Source organism: Homo sapiens, chromosome 16 (assembly GCF_000001405.40).
Source record: "Homo sapiens chromosome 16, GRCh38.p14 Primary Assembly".
Taxonomy (NCBI): Eukaryota; Metazoa; Chordata; class Mammalia; order Primates; family Hominidae; genus Homo; species Homo sapiens.
Window position 1 is genome coordinate 63,055,428 of NC_000016.10, and position 19,774 is coordinate 63,075,201.

General features: G+C 35.4%; 1 long non-coding RNA gene across 2 annotated transcripts in view; it reads right to left on the minus strand.

Moving 5' to 3' along the window:
- Nucleotides 1-1,349: 1,349 nt before the first annotated feature.
- The window catches only part of LOC105371307 (uncharacterized), a 41,921-nt gene continuing 23,496 nt past the window's right edge, over nt 1,350-19,774 (minus strand). Inside the window, exons 3-4 of one of the 2 annotated variants that reach the window (XR_933665.3) lie at nt 12,326-12,528; nt 1,350-4,983 (exon numbers count right to left, since the gene is read on the minus strand). This is a non-coding gene — a long non-coding RNA (uncharacterized LOC105371307). Of the gene's footprint in view, nt 4,984-11,098; nt 12,529-19,774 lie in introns of those variants that run through there. The other variant, XR_007065219.1, reaches the window with a different exon arrangement.

Sequence of the window (19,774 nt, forward strand, 5' to 3'; positions counted from 1 at the left end):
GAAAAAATTCTGGGCCAGAATGGTTTCACTGGTAAATCGCATCAAACATTTCAGGAAGAAATAATGCCACACTTGCAAAAATATTTTAAATAAATAGAATAGGTATACCAGTACCCCATTTGTTTTATGAAGTTAGTATAACCCTAAAATTAAAACTTGACAAAGATATCATAAGAGAATAAAATTATAGAATAAGATCCCTTATAATCCTAGACTTACATATTATTATATGTATTAGAAATTCATTTTCAGAAACATATAAAAGGATACTAGTTTATGACTGTGAAGGGCAGAATAAGCCCCCCAAAGCTGCCCAGGTGCTAATTCCTGGAACTTTCAAAATCAGGTTATGTGACAAAGGAAAATTAAGGTAGCAGATAGAGTTAAGGTTACTAATCAGCTAAACTTAAATATTAAATAGGTTATGTTGGATTACCTGGATAGAATCACAATGGTCCTTGTAAGTAGAACAGGGAGGCAGAAGACAGAGAACAGTGAGATGGCAGAGTGAGAAGGACTCAGTCCAATATTCTTGGCCAACAAAATATGACTTGCATAATTTGAGTCAATATAGGAGTTGGTATTAACTGTGGGTCTTTTTTAGAAAATTATTTTGAGTTCTGGGGTACATATGCAAGTTTCTTACCTAAGTAAACGTGTCATGGGGGTTTTTGTGCAGATTATTTCATCAACCAGGTATTTAACTTAGTACTCATTTGTTACTTTTCCTGATTCTCTCCTTCCTTCCACTCTCCTCCCTCTGTAGGCACTGTGGGTCATTTTTAAGCTTAAAAATTTTATTATTGTAAAAATTAATAAAATAAATTATATCCAATTTTAAATAGATGTGAATTCATGGAGATTTTAATAAATCTGCTACCTTGCCTGAATTTAAACACTATTAAAATTAGGCAAACCTGCACTGAATAAATTCAGTCAAGGACATTGGGAGGTTATATAAATGCCTGTTAATTTCAGGGACTATAACTTTAAAAAGAGGGTATAAATGATGAATGATAGATTTAATAATGTAGACAGGGTAGAAGGGCGTGTAAAATCTTGACTGCATGGAGAAAAATATTGATACATCCTGTATTCACATGCTATGGAAGATCTTTTGCACTATGGTTCCAATAGGAACTCTGGGGCAAGTGTATTAGTTCAGTCATACTCCAGGAGCTTGTTAGGAATGCAGATTCCCAGACCCTACCCCGGACCGAATGAAGCAGAATCTACATTGTCACAAGATTGGAAATGCGTGTTTGCATTACATTTTGATGATATGCTATTTAGAGAAGGAGCACGGTATTATAGTCAAATAAGTTAAAGTGATAGGGTTAGAACGTATATGTACAGAATCAGAATCATTTTTATTTTATTTTTACTTCTCTCTAAATTCCAACCAATATATGCATCCCAATATGCTCTACATTTCAGCCTATAAATATTCCTAAAATTTGACAAATTGATTTTATTTCTGGAAGTTTATTTTCTGCTAAATTAATACAAATGGAGGGGAGATAAAAATTAGAAATAACGTATCATTGTAATACACAAGACTTTAAAAGACAATGAATGTTTACCACATAAAGGTCAAATAAACTAGGGACATTCCTACCATAGGTTGGAAATTATCTAACATATTATTACCATAAAATTTATAATAATGAAAAGAGTTTGTGATATAAAAATGAATAATAAAGAAGCAAACTTATATATGTATTAGAATCACAATCAATCAAACGAACATTAAAGGTTAAGCATATTTCAAAGGAACATTTCAAGAGTTTACTCAAAGCCGAGTTTATTCCTTTGCCGGTGGAACTATGAGTCATTTAAAAATTTTGTTCAGTTGATATAATTTTTCTAATGTCTTTAGCCAGATATATTAATTTTAAAATAAAAAAATTAAATTAATTGGGAAAATACTTTTTGGACATGAAGACAACAAAGGCTAAAATTGGGATTCTTTTTGCTGAATATGAATAAACATACGTGCAATAAAATAGGGCAGGAGAAAAAATTCTAAGTTGTCCTAAATTCCTTCTCTTACTGAAAATAGGACAATGAAACAAGAATTCTGACTTGCCCTAAATTCCCTCTGTTTTTGCTAAGTCAGCATTAATAAGAGAGAAGGTGGCATTTTTGACATACAGTTCTGACTGGCACTCAGCACAGTTACTGCCCACCAATGTGTAATTGAAGTTAACTCTTGGAGAGTCATTTTCCCTCCCAAACGATAAATATGTAGAGAATTATCTGTGAATATAGCAGAGAAAAGTGGGTGGAAGGAGAGGGATCCACGGAGTTACTTAAAAATGTCTACAGCAATCTGTGACCCAGCTTCATCTTGGTTAGTGGAATGAAACTAAGAAATGACTCTGTTTTCCACTTCTCTTACAAAAGGTCTTGCTTTCTAGACCTCTTTGGTCAAAATCAATCTATGTTAATTTTGAATAGGCCAGATTGCAATTTAAATACAATGAAAATATGTGTGCCTATTATTTTTAACAAATTTTATCACACTACATTCATGAATTAAAATATTTGATAGCAAATAAGATCAATTTATAGAATCATGACAAACACACTTAATTTGTCTATCCTAAATAACATAGTATCTTAATTCTATGTAATTTGAAATGAATTTTCACACAAGATATCTTTAAAAGTTTAATATGGATAACTGAAAAACTTTGAAACACCAAACCAGCAACCCTAAGAGGTTCATTATTATCAATATACTACTACTCTGACTGCTATCTGTAAGCAAAATCATAGTTAATAAAGAAAAAAATGACAGTAACAACACTAAATTCACATTACCAATATTTTTACCATGTGCCTGTTTGCTGCTGAAGCAATCAGTCACTCACCAGAATGTTGTGAAGATGACTTTAAACTGCTCTTCCTGTTCCCACTCTTATCCTCTACTCTGGGAAAGTCTTCAGTCAGGAAGGCCACTGACCTTGGGCACTGAGACATTTCCCCCCACGCCTTCCCCCAAAAAGTAAGCAAGCTTTATCAGAATCTTCCATCCTTTATCCTTTGAAACAATTACTTCTGTATTCTAAAGCAATATTAGATAAAATCTCTTACAATTCAGTCACAAGTATGTCATATTATATAGTTTTACAAATTTAGCATTCTCAAGCAAAAGAAAGTAACATAACATGAAGCATGCACTTTTACCTCTTTCCATATGATTGATATAAAATCATTGATTCCTAGAATTAGAAGAGTTCTTATAATTACTTTGTTTCTCAGTAATGTTGATTTATTGTGTTAAAGAATGTGTTAAGCCCTGCACCCAAAGTTGAAACAGACTCTACCATCTGTAACACTCCTGAAAGAAGTTGATTAATAGATATTTCTTATACTTGAATGTAAAATCCAAAGTGGGATCATCATTCTATATTCACATAACCAATGCTTAAACATTATTAGGATCTTAATAAACTTAAGATGGCTTGGTGTTCATGTTGAAGTGGCTCCTTGTAATGTGGAATATAAAGTAAATACAGTAAGTGATAAGGATGAAAATATTCTTCCTTACATTAAACTAGTATCTCTTTGTATTGTCTAATCATTGCTTCTATTTCTGAGCATTATAGCCAACCATAAGCTGGCATCAAGCAGATTCAGACAACAAAAACTGCCTTCAAGTTACATCATTCAGTATTTGTGAAGAGTTATCACAAAATCAGTGGCAGAATTAATAGAGGCGGTGGTAGACATTGATTACTGTTGAAGGAAGGGGGGCAGGAAAATTATTTTAAGAAAGAAGTTAGTGGCTGGGCAAGGATTGTTGAAGCAATATGCAATCTCAAGAGTACATGTGAAGAGTTATATGAAGAAAATTAAAAGAAATGCATCCATGATGCAAAATAAAACACTAGAGTGAAGGGCAGAGCAAGGGACACATCACACATTTTCTTTGGAAAATTATTGAGAGGTTAGGTAAGAAAAACTTTTAATTCCTTGTAACAAATTTTTAATCTATAAATTCCAATTGTACCAATCACTTATCTGAACAACTTTTTATCCTGAGTTACATTTGACATAACCCAACAAATGGTGGGTAAAGATTTAAAATGGTGTTATTGTGTCAATATTTGTAGAATGTGCAAACTTTGGTCTAAGGTGCCTAAGCTATTTGAAGGTAAAATTACCTAAAATTTTTGATTTAAATATTTTTATCAAAATCAGTATTCTCCTAGAAGATATAGTAACCCAGAGGTGTTTGGATTATTGTCTACTCTTTAAAAGATTATTTTAAATGAAAAACAAGGCCCTTCCTCCTAGTAGATCCGCATTTGTTTGATTTGATTTGAAGGGTTCTCTTTCATGGGTTCTTGCCAAGATTTTTCATCACATCGCTGTGGGGGCTTTGCCCTGAGCCACAGAGTTACTTGCCCATTTTCACTTAATGGTGCTCATAAAAATCGTTGAATCAGAGCAAATGGTCTGTGTTGTTCCTACTGCCCCAGTCCTTCCAGCTCTTGTTAGGGGCTCATTGATTGCTATTGGGAACATTCGCTAAGGGTCGGTGGCTTGCGTATTGAGCAGAAACTTCTCCAAGGAGTTTTGTTTCTCTTTGTTTTTGCATTTTATACAGTGTTGAGAAATGCTTCAGATATGATCTTGCCTTTGACATCAAATTCTCTCAACTTGTTTTAATATCTCTCACTATGTGGCTTTCGGAAGCTTTCAGACCCTGTATCTTTAAACGTCCTTTGTTCATCTTTGCAAGCATTGTCCTTGTAATATTGAAAGTAAGATAGGTCTGCTACTTTTGTAATAAAAATGAACACACGGACTTATTCATTAAGGGCAATATTTTAAGTACACAAAGGACATAAGTACCTCTCACTGAGCTCCTTTTCACATATCAGCTGGGAACTTGGTACTCATTTAAGTTGTGATTCATTGGCCATAGGGGTCTGTCACTTGCCAACATCAGAGACTTACAGCCAGAAAGAACTGCAAAGGGTTAGAAATTTACATATTAGTACTCAGAAGAGAAGAGTAAATGCATCTTCTTGACTTTGTATAACTGACCTATTTTGCTTTATTGAGCAAGCATCCTGCTTTATTATTGGGTATGGAAAAGAAGTGATTTTTAACTTCTTAATTAAAAGTATTGTAGTTACTTTTGATTGTAAAATGTGCTTTTCAAGTAGTTCACCTTTTTATAGGTAAATGCTAAAACGTTCAGTTTTCATCTTTCTAGCGCTCCTTCTGAAGGTAGTGTCTGGGTGTGCAAAGGCTGGAAAGCTTCAGTGGTTTTTACAAAGGTGTGTGGGGGCATGGTAGAAATTAACCTGGAGTACAAACAGATACAAACTGGCTTTGTGGTCCGGTATAGTTGGGCCAGGCCTTGGTAATGCCTGTTGTCCTGCTGTAATTATTAATAGTGATCTTTTTACTCCAAGAATGGTGTGGTTTAGACAACACAGTGAATGGTCACTCTAAATAGATGAGGATGCCAGAAGCTACTAATGGTGACTACAGTCCATGGCAGAGCAGTTACTTTGTGTTTGATCTTATGGTCTGAAATCTAGTACACATATTATTTCACTTAGCTTGTTTATTAATACAACCAATATCTGAGCACTTTTCATGTGCCAGACACTCTCATAGGTTCCAGGAGATTTGTCATTAAACAAAACAGCTAAATCTCTGCTGTTGGGAAGCCTACATATTATTAGTGTTATTGATTTATGGTCCACATTTTGAGAAACATTAAATGATTTAACTTATTTTATAGATGATAATTAAAGTCCTCCAAAGTACAATGACTTGCCCAAAGTCAGGTAAAGGGTTAATGGCAATCATAATTAGAATCCTAGTGATGCACAGTATTTTCTGGATGCCTTCATAGGACTTGCAACAGGTGCACTGTTTACTCAGCCCGCCCTGCTTGACCCTTCCTGGGGGGTAGCGTGTGAGTGAATGAGTGCGGGAATCAGCCAGCCTCTTTGGTACTGGCAGGAGCAAACTCTGCTCACTCAGGTCCATTGCTCTCCACCCCTCGTGGAAGGGAGCGTGCAAGCGAGTGCAGGAACTGGCCACTTTAGTGTCGTCAGAAGCGAGCTCCATGCAAGTCCCACAGCAGCCTCCAGGTGGGGACGCCTATGACCCCAAGGCCCCAGAGGGCATGTTACAATGCTTTCTTAGCTCCACCATCCACAGACAGACAGCAGTGTGCTATCAACTCAGTGGACCCTTTGCCTCGTTGCCTGGTGTGGCTGCCCTTTGCCAGTGAGGGCAAAGGGACAGTGTGACAGCCTTTTTAGGTACCTGCAGTTGACACATCCCAAATTCTTGTCTGGTGCCCCAAAGGAATGAAGTCACTCAGATGAACTGAATGATAGTGAACGTGGAGAATTTTACTGAGTGATGAAAGCAGTGGTCAGTGGAGAGGGGAGCTGGAAAGGGGACGTGAAGGGTAGTTCACTCTCCCCTGAAGTCAAGCTACCTCTGCCTCATCCAGCCCCCATCTCTGAAGTCAAGGTGCCTCTCTCCGATATCCAGCTGCTCCTTCCCTACATCCAGCTACTTATCCCCTGTGCCAGCTGAGTCTGGGGTCTCTATAGGCACAGGTTGGGGGCAGGGTGAGCCGCAGGTAGCTTTGGAAAAGGCAACATTTGATTGGTAAAAAACATTATCGAGAAAGAACCAATTGGTAGAGAGCAGGCACACAGGGATAGAAGTTCTTACTTTGGACCATGGATTTCAGGCTTCTTAGCTCAAAGGTGGGGTTTTGCCAGGGACCCATCCCAATCTGCCTAGAGTTTCTCTGCCTCCTGCCTCTATCATTGAATCACCAGTTTCCCCCAAAGTAGCTTAATATTTCATAACAGGGATTCACAGATTACATTCTATGGGAAAAATCAGCGCACTGCCTGTTTTTATAAATAAAGTTCTGTTGGAACATAGCCAAGCCATTCATTTCTGTATTGTCTACAGCTGCTTTCACCCCACAGAGGCAGAGTTGAGTAGTTGAAACAGACATCAAATGGCATGCAAAGCCTAAAATATTTATGGTGAAGTCCTTTGCAGAAAATGTTTGCCAACCCCTGTTCTGAAATATAGGTATCTCTGCTCCTGACAATCTTATTTAAGCATGTAAAACCTGACAACATAGGCTTTTAGGCATAGACATTTACCACCTGTGTGGCCTTGAGCAAGTCAATTAACCTCTCTGAGATTTAATTCCCTCATCCATAAAATGGAGATGATCATTAGTGCATTGTTAGTAATGAGGATTAAATTAACTAATGTATGTAAAACACAGCTGGTAAAAGGAGAGAAGGTAGTTATTAACATTTCTAGTTGGATAGTTGCTCCATGAGCTGTCATCTGTAGAGGGTGAAGGTATGGGGTAAAAATTTTTCCTTTGTTTTTTGTGCCTTCAAAACCAACAGCTTCCTGGGAGTTTTTGCACATTATTTAATGTGAGGATTACATACAGCACTCAGGAGTGAGCAATACATCTGGGCTTTAGCAGCCTCTCAGCTCAGCAAGAGACACTTTTACTTATAAACTTGTAGATCACTACTATGAGGCATCCAAGCCGTGAGATTGACTTAATGAGAAAAGAGGAATGAGGAGCAATTACATTTCCATTAAGTGGACAACAATGCCCTTGATAAGGCTGCTGGAACCAAAGGGTCCTCTTTCCTCTCAGGTATGATCTTAGAAACACAGCCCTGATTGATTTATTAAACATGAGTTTATTTTTGCTTCTGAAATCAGCTATCTTCCAAGGTTACTCCATGATCACAAAGGACTAAATTCCAATTTATAGTGGAATTGTTAAGCTGTGAAAGTATCATGGGAGATTGGTTCTCAGCACCCATGAAATATGAACAGATCCTAAAAAGTGTTTGGAAATTCTCAGTGAGAGCCTTTTGCCATTTGTAAGCTGGAATTGAAAGAATCAAGGCCATAGATTGCTACAATTTTACCCAACTTCATGTTAATAATTTATAATCAAATTAGTTAATACCTGTCCAACACTTACTATGTACCAATGTTTGTGCTAAGGGCTTTATAAACATTACCCTAATCAAAACTTATGGCCAAATTATAATGTAGATAGTACATTACATGTATTTTATAGATCATGACATAGAGTCTCAAAGATTATCTACTTTGTGGTGGATTGCACAGCTACTGAACTACAGAGGTAGAACTGAGGTACACACCGGGTTTTCCGAAGTACAGAGAACATCCTCTGTCAGTAATTGTACCTTGTTTTCCAGGTTTGTGCTTATGCCTTTTTAGGGCTCCTCTGTGAAAACTTCCCTGACAATATTCAGATTTTACTTCATGGCTGGTATATTTCTACTTCCATCCAAAAATGACCAACAAAAATAAAATTTCTCTATCAAGATTCTCTTTGGTTTCCTCTTTTCCTTCTTTCTACTCATTGTCTCTTGTGCAAATATAGTATATTTTTGGTACAAAACAGTTATTGGCATAAATTTTCTGTTATTACTCAGTCTCTTACTACGATATGAATAACAGTCAATATTTAGTGTACATTATTGATGTTTTAGGCATGTGGCACAAAGTTATACATGCAATATCTCATTTAATCTCCACAATAACTCTGAATTAGATATTATCATCTCCATTTCAATGCAAAGAAATGAACTCAGAGACATTAAATAATTTGATCAAATCCACACCACTCCTAAAAATGAAGCTAGTATTCGTACCAAAATCCATTAATTTCAAAGTCTATATTATTTTAGCACATTTTCATAATTTACCTTGAGAGTCTATTTTCTGTGAGTTAAGGATATTCAGTCTTATTCTAATGTGTTCTGAAAAATACTGCTAATCACTTATTTCTAAGAGAATGCCTCATTCTATGTGGTTTTGAGTTTTTTTTGTCTGCCTTCATTCTTAGGCTGCTGCAATCTTTGGCTAATCTTCTTCCCTATCTCTATGCATCACTCTGCCCAGGTGTGGTGTACTGGAGCCTTTTTATTTAGCTTCTCTTTGGTGCTGGAAATACTAACTTCCAAAGTAAGTCTACATTTAAAATGCCTCCTTTAGCATCAAATAAATACTTCCTGTGAATCACTACTTGCTGTCTGTCCTAGTTACTATAATGCAAGATATTTTTGTTGTTGTTTTAAGTTTCCTTGTGTTGAGTGATGGATTCATTTCTTAAGCAAATTCTCACCAGAGTAGAGAAGCTTTGAAAAACACTTAAACTTAGTTGCCTGCTGGTGGCAAGCCAAAGATTGTTCTAAAGTGAAGAAAAATAAGACACAGAGGAAGCTCAGAAATAGCAGAGCTGGTGTAACATCCTTGATAGAAATTGAAATCAAGGGGATCTGGGTTTGGATCTCAATTCTCCTATTTAGGGAACATATGGTCTTGGGGAATTATTTAACATTACTAAGTCCTATTTCTAGTGTCTGAAAATACATCATCTGCATTTATTTTAAGATGGAGTCTCGCTCTGTTGCCCAGGCTGGAGTGCAGTAGTGCCATCTTGGCTCACCGCAACCTCTGCCTCCTGGGTTCAAGTGATTCTCCTGCCTCAGCTTCCCGAGTAGCTGAGATTACAGGTGTGTGCCACCATACCCAGCTAACTTTTGTATTTTTAGCAGAAACAGGGTTTCACCATGTTGGCCAGGCTGGTCTAGAACTCCTGACCTCAGGTGATTCGGCCACCTCAGCCTCCAAAAGTGCTGGGATTACAGGTGTGAGCCACCACACCTGACCCTCATCTGCATATTTCATGGAGTTGTCTGTTCAGTCTGTACTTGCTGAGTGCCTACTATGCGTTGATGTTCTTGTGAAGACTGAATGGGATGGCTGGCATAATGAATCACCTAAGCCAACACAAACCTTAATTGCCAACCGCCAATCTTCCTAGGGATGGGAAATTTCATTCAACTTTCTATTATTAGTTATAATTGTTTTAAAGGAACCTCTCTGAGTAAGAATTCTTAGCCCTATTAGAAGTAAGGTAGGTTGGGGACAAAAGGAAGTTCTCTGAGAATATGATCACAATACCCGGTCTGATAAAACCTTAATTTGTGAATTGTAAAAGTTAAATGTCACAACACATAATATATTCATCACAGCTGGTTAAAAATGTAACAGGTTGCCTTAATTATCGGTTAGAATGCAAACCATCAGAAACTGCTAGAAAAACAGGAAGTATATGGTCACAAAATGAAGAGCACAATCAATTGAGAGCTTGTGAAAAGTTCTTTCAGAGAAACAGGCTGCTAATAGAGATGTGGAAAATATATTTTAAACTCTCACTGTGATTTTCATGCAAAATGATGCCATGATACTAGCATTGCCTTAGGGAGACTGATCTCTGCTCATATAACCCTCCTAAGGCAATCTTTAGGGAAGATGATTTCCTAAACTTAACAACTGACTGCTGTGTTCAACGCACTTCCAGGCAAGTCACTTTTCAGAAAACACTGTTTTGAATGGTCTTGATTTCAAGTACTCCTTGATTTTCTCTTTATTGACTCCATGTAATTCTAACTACCAAGAACAAGAGGGGCTCTTAGACAGCATTGAGTTCAAAGCTTTTACTTGGCACACAGAAAACAGAGGCTCAAGTATGTTGAGACACACAGCTTGTCCAGGAGGAAGGTCTAGAAAAGTTGAAAATATGTATGCAAAATAGTAGCTACTGTTACATGAACAGCTATCATGTTGCAGGCACAGGGCTAGGAGGTCAATTCATTATCCCATTTAGTTAACGCAATTAGACTATGAGTAGATATTGGCATTTTTATTTAAGAGAGGGGAGAAGTAAAGCTTGGAAAATTGAAGTGACTTTCCCAAGTAACAATTGATTTACCTGTAATCTAAACACAGATGTTTGATCTCCTGACCCATCTTGTTTCATTTCTATAAATTACCTCCCTATTGATGTTTACTTTTAAAAAATCTCAGGTCATACGTAAGACAGTCTTGAAAAAGTTTGATATCAAAAACCACTAAGAGCAAACATTTTGATGTCTTTTTTCCTCCTTATTACCTAGGTATTTTGCTGTAGACTTGTAGTTTAGAGATAACAATTGTCAAAAGAAAAGTCAGAGTGTTTTACTTGACATGAATATTTTATTGAGAACACACTATTCCAGAACAGAGACTCCAAAATAGAAAATGGCAAGAAGCTCATCTCCTAAAGGTTATAGTTAAGGTTTAAAAAACGGAAAAAAAGAAGTTCATACATCTTGATTCTCATTGGTTATTTTACAGTATCTTTCCTTTTAGGATGATCAGAGCAGGTTACGTAGGTAATAGATGATTGTCTGCATGTGCTGAGTCATGCTTACAAGGAAATAAAGCTCAAGCTTCATTTCTGACATTTCCAGAATCGGTCTTTATAAGTTTTCTTGAGCTGGTGTGGGCCATTGGCTCAGAAGCAAAGGTTTTCCCTCCATTTTTATTTTTATTTAACATAACTTTGTAACCCAAGAAAAACACTCTTAAGGATTTTGTTTGTTTGTCTCATGCAGAAAAAAAAAACACTTGAGTGTGTTAAGAATGCTTAACCCTTTAGCAACCTGATGGATGATTTCTGGAAATACAATTTACTACACCTTAATAAGTTACTGAAAGTTTCATTCGATTGCTCAGAACACTAAGAAAAAAAAAAGTTGTTCTGTTCCATATTTATTCAGCCATGATTAATCTACTGTTGAATAATAATTTTTAATTTCCATTTCTTGAATATATTTATTAATTTACCTCCTGCCAATATATGGCTCTGGTTGCCACTATTTAGAACTTATTCCTGTTCTTCCTAAGTATCATTTGCATAATGGAATGACAAGGTCCATTCACTGGCAGTTGGTTGTGGGGTGTTGGACAGAGTGACTGGGTTGTAATTAGTGGCATCTGGCCTCTGGTTTCATTAGCATGCAAATGGAGCTACTAGAGACCACAAGAGCCTGGCAATTTCACAACAGTCCCTACAATGTATATCTGCTTTTATAAGCATATCAGTGGGATGGCTTTTTATAAAAGAATAAAGTCTGTACATCTGAATGAATTTGACTGCCAATCTTTGCATCCTAGAATCTTAAGGAATTTTCTGTCAAAGAAGAAAACAGGTCTGCAATATATCAACCTCAATCATTTCTTTCCATATTTTAGGCTATTAAAAATGTAATCCAAGCTCTTATTTCTGCCTGGCCTGTCTCCATTCCCCCCGTCAAATCCTTACTCCTCTCCTCGTCTTCTTTATTTTCCTTAAATAAATGATTTTTTTCAGCTCTATAAAATACGATTTTGCTTGTTTGTTTGTTTCTCATGGCATTACCTTAGGCAGGAAATAACAAGGCTCTCGATTTCTTGTTTCACTGTATCCAGACTCTTTGCTATGGTCTTCATGCTTCTGTTACAGTCACTGATGATGACAAGTAGTGATTGCAGCCAAATCTTATTGGATGGTTGGTATGTATCAAGGATTGTTTTACCCTCATTTAATCTTCTCAGTAATTCAATGATTTGGAACGCTTAAAGCTTTATTTAAGAGGAAAAAAAAAAACAGAAGAGAAAGAAAAATGAAGCTCAGAACAGTACTGTACCTTTTTGGAAGCCACCCAGTTCACATAACAGCCAGGATGTGAGTTCAAACCTCTCTGACTGTAGAACTCCATTTATTCTCATAGAGACTTTTCTGTCTCCCACAACAGATACATATTTGGTCTAAAAAGCAATTCTATGCTCTGAAGCTTCTTTTAAACAAGAGAATTTTATTCTTACAGAAATGTTCTGAGCCTCATGATTTGTAAAATTTGTCACAGTGACAACTTTAGATGTTTTACTTATTTGGATTTTAAACTAGATGTGTATGTGGTTTTTGCACCTTAGTGTGATTTTGCTCCTTATCATCTCATGGATTGACAACAATCTTTTTCAAAGGGTGAAATCCAGAATCTCAGTTTTGTGGGATATTTATTGGTGTCATATGACAATGGTGTTTCTTGATCCATTAATTGTGAGAAAACTTGGGTTAAACTTCATCAGAATGTTTTCTCTACAACAGAATTTCTAAAATCCTTTTCACATGTTAATGTGAATATGCCTTACTTCAAGGGAGGCTGAGAAAGTATCCCTTATTTGCCTTTATTGTGTGAAGTTCTATTTGCCATCAAGGAAGAAGTTATGGAGGTTTCTGGTTAAAGACTACTGGATGAGGATTACTCTGTTTCTAGTAAATCTACATGACCTTGGACAATAAATTAAAATGTAGCCCTATATTTTTCGAAGGTCCCCAGGATCTCTTCTTGAATCTTAAATATTATTTATGCTTTGATCCTTAGCAAGTAACTGAAATATAGGAGAGTGAAACATGTCTCAAATTGTCAATGTAAAAATGCAAGGAGATAATTAATGCAAAGTAGATAGTCTATTGCCTAGTGTAGAGCAAATACTTTCTAAAGAGTGGCTAATTTAAATATGAATCAACTTTTAGAACTTAATATTGTGTTCTTTTCCTTATGTACTACAACTAATTTTGAAAAGCCACAATTTGACTGACAGGAAAAAAACCCACTACTATCATCCTTAATAAGCATCAGTAATCAGCAGTGAATTAATAGCAGTGGCCTCTCTCTGTTGCTATCAATTACACACATTATTAATGGATTGACAAAAATCTGCCAAGGCGTAGATTGTTAACAGGAATTGACACCTCGGTTATTGCCAGTGTCAGAAATTAATCTTGGAGAGTGCAACCATGCTGCATTAAAATGCATGTTGCAGTGGTTCACGATGTGGAATAGAAGACCTTTGCTGTAAAGTGATTTAGGATGCAGGCTTGAGGGAACAATGCAGGCACGTGTATCTGAGAGAGGAGACATGGGAAGTGCCCACACAATAGTTCAGACACATACCAAGATCTATTCTATGAAGGTTCTGGGTTGTTAATCTGAACCCCTGTGCAGTTGTTAAATAAAACCTATAACAACTTGGATATTGTAGCAATTCAAAAATAATTTACTTTTAAATTATTAAATCTTAGAAAAAAAGAAAACCAAACATTTATTTACTTATTCTCAGAGTAATGTTATAGGGAAATTGAAGATGAGGAAGTTGATATTTGATATTTAAATTGCCCAAGTTAAGTTGCATTTGGTAAATGAAAGAGCTAAGAGTTTAACACACTTTCAGAAGCACAGGTATTTTTTCAGGATATTGCATTGTCTCCCTAGAGCTTTTAAGGTTTGAGAGAAATAGGTGGCGAAGGTGGCTAGGCAGAGGGGATAGTAAAGGGACTTCTGAAATAGTGCATGGGAAATAGCTTAACTGCAGCTTTTCTTACTTGCTCCCTGGGTGCTTAGTACAAGGCTGGCTTCACCATATACAGTGAGATGCCAACTCCATTTCCTTCCTTGGGAGGTCAATGATATTGGCTCTACGCTTACATTATGTTTCTAGTCTGCTATTCTGGCCTGCTAAATGTGTTGTGATTACAAGCAGCATTAATGAGGAGTTTGCCTGTGGTGACTCTTCTTACCAGCTGTGGCTGGGTTCTTGCTCTATTCTGAATCTCAACACTATCAACAGGATCCTACTGGTACTGGATCTTGTCCTGAGTTTCACACCAGGTTGGGTTCATAGATGTAACATGGTGAGAACACATCTTTCATCTGTGAAGAGTTGGGAATATCTCCAAGATTATAACTACTCATAGCCTTCCTAAACACCTTAGTAAAGAATGTTTTAATCACCAGTAAGTGATACAATAACAGAAAGAAGCAGTGTTTGTGGGATATTTATCTTACTTTGAAAAGATGAAAAGAAACCCCAAATAATTATACTATACATATATTTGCAAGGCCTTGGGAACACACTGCCCTCTCATCTTGTTTTGCTACTTTTATAAACTGAATTCCCAAGTTTTGCTACTTTTATACAATAAATTACCAAATTTCTCAGATACCATCTTAGATTCTCATCTCTGGCCTAACTTCAGCATCTCCTTGAATATAATTATCGGGTTTCTGCATATCCTTTGCTTGTAATTTGTCCATTGTTTTTTTCAACAAAATGTGTAGAATATTGGTTTTTGGTGGGTTGTTTATTTTCTACCATCATGAGTATAAAAATCTTATGTGGGACACTAATATGTTGTACTGTGTCCGAAACTGTGGCTATATATGCATTTCCTCTTTGATTCTTTATTCTTTCATTGAGGTAAAATATACATATACAATTTACCATCTTTATAATCTTTAGGTGTACAGTTCAGTAGTAAAAAACACATTTATATATTTTTCCCGCTTCACCCTCCTGCTCTTGTTATATTTCCCAGTCACCGATCCACTCTCCATCTTCGTGAAATTCAACTTTTTAGCTCCCATATATGAGTGAGAACATGCGACATTTGTCTCTCTGTGGTTGGCTTCTCATAACATAATGGCCTCCAGTTACATGCATGTTGATGTCAATGACAGGATTTTGTCCTTTTTTCTGGCTTAATACTATTCAATTTTGTATATATATACATATAGAATTTTCTTTATTCATTCATCTGTTGAGGGGCACTTTGGTTGATTCCATATCTTGGCTAATGTGAATAGTGCTGTAATCAACATGGGAGTGCAGATGTCTCTTTAACACATTGATTTGTTTTTGAATATATACTCAGTTATGGAATTTCTGTATCTTATGGTAGTTCTGTATTTAGTTTTTTGGGAAAACTCCATACTGTTCTCCATCATGGCTGCACTAATTGACATTCCCACCCACTGTGTCTGAGGGTTCTTTTTCTCCACATCTTTGCCAGCATCCATTATTTGCCTTTTTGATACAAGCCATTTAAACTGGGGTGAGATGATATCTCACTGTGCTTTGGATTTTCATTTCCCTGATGATTAGTGATGTTGAACATTTATTTACATACCTGTTGGCCATTTGTATGTCTTTTTTTTTCTTTTGAGAAATGTCTGTTCAGATCTTTTGCCCATTTTTAGTTGGAGCTTTGTTCTATTTGCAATTGAGTTGTTTGAGCTTCTTATGTATGCTGATAACTATTTTTGTCAGGTGAATATATTGCATGTGTTTTCTCCCTTCTGTGTGTTGTCTCTTCACTTTGTTGATTGCTTTCTTTGCTTTGCAGAAGCATTTTAGCTTGATGTAATGCCATTTGTGTATTTTTCCTTTGGTTGACTGTGCTTTTGAGCTGTTACGTAAAAATATTTGCCCAGACCACTGCCTTAGAGATTATCTCCAAACTTTTATTCTAGTAGTTTCATAGTTTCAGGTTTCAGATTTAAGTCTTTAATCCATTTTGATTTGATTTTTTGTGTATGATGAGAGATAGGGATCTACTTTCATTCTTCACATAGTTATTTAGTTTTCCCGCAACCATTTATTAAAGAGACTTTTTGTCCTCCATTGTATATTCTTGTATACTTTGTCAAAGATGGATTGGCTGTAAATGTATGGATTTATATCTAGGTTCTCCATTCTGTTCCATTGGTCTATGTGTCTGTTTTTATGCCAGTACCATGCTGTTTTAGTTACTATAGCTTTGTAGTAAATGTTGAAGTGAGGTAGTGTGATGCCTCCAGCTTTGTTCTTTTTGCTCAGGATTGCTTTGGGTATTTGGGATCTTTTGTGGTTCCATATACATTTTAGGATTTCTTTTCTATTTCTGTGAAGAATTTAGTTGGAATTTTAAAGGCATTGCATTAATTTGTAAATTACTTTAGATGGTATTGTCATTTTCACAATTTTTAAAAAGCTTTTAAGTTAAGGGGTACATATGCAGGTTTGTTATATAGATAAACGTGTGTCATGGGGGTTTGTTGTGCAGATTATTTTATTATTCAGGTATTCTTCCAATTCATGAGCGTGGAATTTTTTTTATTTCTTTTGCGTCCTTTTCACTTTGTTTCATCAGGATTTTATAGTTTTCCTTGTATAGATCTTTCACTTCTTTAGTTAGATTGATTCCTAGGTGATTTATATATTTTGTAGCTACCATAAATAGGATTGGTTTTTGATTTCTGCTTCAGGTTGTTGATGTTTGTAAATGTTACTGATTTTTGTATACTGACTTTGTATGCTGCAAACTTCCTGCATTTGTTTGTTAGTTCTAACATTTTTTTGGTAGAGTCTTTAGGTTTATTTAGGTATAAGAAAACTCCAAACTATGCTAATTTGACTTTCTTTCCAATTTGAATTCCCTTTATTTCTTTCTCTTGCCTGATTGCTTTAGACAGGAATTCCAGTATTATGTTAAACAAATGTGGTGAAAGTGAGCATCCCTGCTTTGTTCTAGTAATAAAGAAATGGCCTTCAATTTTTCTTCATTCACAACAGTGTTAGCTATGGGTTTGTTATATACAGTTTTTATTATTCTGAGGTATGTTCCTTCTGTACCCATTTTGATGAGAATTTTTGTAAAAAAAGGATGTTGAATTACATTGAATACTTTTTCACCATCTATTATTCTAACAATTATATGGTTTTTATTCTTCATTTTGTTAATGTGAGGTATAATGTTTATTGTTTGCAAGTGTTGAACCATTCACCCTGGTGGTACATGGTCCCTTTAATGTATTGTTGAGTTTTGTTTGCCAGTATTTTGTTGAGGATTTTTGCATGTATGTTCATCAGTAATATTAACTTGTTAGTTTTTTTGTTGTTGCGTCCTTGTCTGGTGTTGGCATGAGGACAGTGCTGGCCTCATAAAATGAATTTGGAAGTATTCCCTCCTCAATTTTTTTGAAAAGTTTGTGTAGGACTGGTATCCATTCTTTAAATGTTTGGTATAATTCAGCAGTAAAGGCAGCAGGTCCTAGGCTTTTGTTTGATGGAAGACTTTTTATTATGGCTTTGATCTTTTTATTATGGCTTTGTCATTGGCTTGTTGAAGTTTTCAGTTCCTTTATAATTCAATCTTTAGGCTATGTGACCAGGAATTTTTTTAATTCCTTTTAGGTTTCCAATTTGTTAGTATATTGCTGTGCACAATAGTCTCTAAAGATTCTTTTGTATTTCTGAGGTTTTAATTTTATGGTTCATTTTTTGTGATTTTATTTATTGGTAGCTTATCTCTTATTTTCTTAGTCTAGTTGAAATTTTTTAAATTTTATTTATCTTTTCGAAAAACCTACTTTTAATTTTATTGATCTTTTGTATTTTTTAATCTTAATTTTATTTATTTCTGCTCAGATCTTTTTTATTTTTTCCCTTCTACTAATTTGGGGTTTGGCTTGTTCTTGCTTTTTTTGTTCCTTGAAGTTCATTATTCGGTTGTTTATTTGAAGTCTTTCTATTTTTTGCTATAGGCACTTATTGCTATAAACATCCCTCTTAGTACTGCTCTGCTGTATCCCATAGATTTTGATATGTGATATTTCCATTTTCATTTGTTTAAAGAAATTTTTAAATTCCCTTCTTAATTACTTCATTGACCCATTGGTCAAGGATCAGGTTGTTTAATTTCTATGTGTTTGTGTGTTTTCTGCAGTTTTTCTTGTTATTGATTTCTAGTTTTATTCTATTGCTGTCTGAAAAGGTACTTGATATGATTTTTAGTTTTATAAATTTGTTCAGACCTCTTTTTTGGCCAAAATATGATCTATTCTGGAGGATGTATCATGTGCTGATAAAAAGAATGTGTAGTCTGCAGAACTTGGGTGAAACATTCTGTAATTGTCAGTTAGGCCTATTAGATTTAGCATGTAGTTTAATGCTGATTTTTTTTTGTTCTGTCTGGGTGATCTGTCCATTACTGAAAGTGGAGTGTTAAAGTTCTCTACTATTATTGTATTCCTGTCTAGCTCTATATTTACGTCTGTTAACTTATCTTAGGTCACAAATACAATAATAGAAACAAAGGCAAAAAATACAAAAACTTTCTACACTTCAACTTTATCCTTTCCATATTTTGACTTTTACTTGCCTCATTTTACATTTTTTTTTTGCATTACCTATCTCTTAACAGATTGCTGTAGCTATTATTGTTTTTCATAGATTTTTCTTTTGGGCTTCATACTAAAGTTATGAGTTAATTGCACACCATCATTACAATGATGTGGTATTCTGAATTTATTCATGTACTTAGCTTTATCACTGGGTTTTATACTTTGAAAAGTTTTTGCATGTTGGTTATTTTTTTTTCTTTCAGATTGAAAAACTCCTTTTATCATTTTTTGTAAGATGATTCTGGTGACGGTGAATTCTCTTAGCTTTTGTCGCCTGGGAAAGACTCTCTCCTTCATATTTGAAGAATAATTTTCCTTGATAGAGTATTCTTAGATGGCAGTTTTTTTTTTATTTTTGAGCACTTTGAAAATGTTGTTCTACTTTCTTGTGCCATATATGGTTTCCTTTGAGAAGTTTATTGCCAGATGAATTAGAGCTCCTTTATATGTTATTTGCTTCTCTCTTTCTGCTTTTAAGATCCTCTTGAGTTTTGAGAGCTTAATTATTATAGACCTTAAGATAGTCTTATTTGGGTTGAATCTGTTGGCTTTTCTCAGACCTTCCTGTACCTGGATATTCATATCTTTCTAAAATTTTGGAAAATTCGTTATTATTTCCTTGAATAAGATTTGTACCCCTTGCTCTTGCTCAGTTGTCTTTTGAACACCAATAATTCTTAGATTTGATCTTTTGTGTTAACTTTCTACATCTTGGAGGTATTCCTTGTTTCTTTCATTCCTTGTTCTTTTTTCCTCCTCTGACTGTGTATTCCTAAATATCCTGTTTTCAAGGTCATTGGTTTTTTTATCTGCTTGGTCCATTC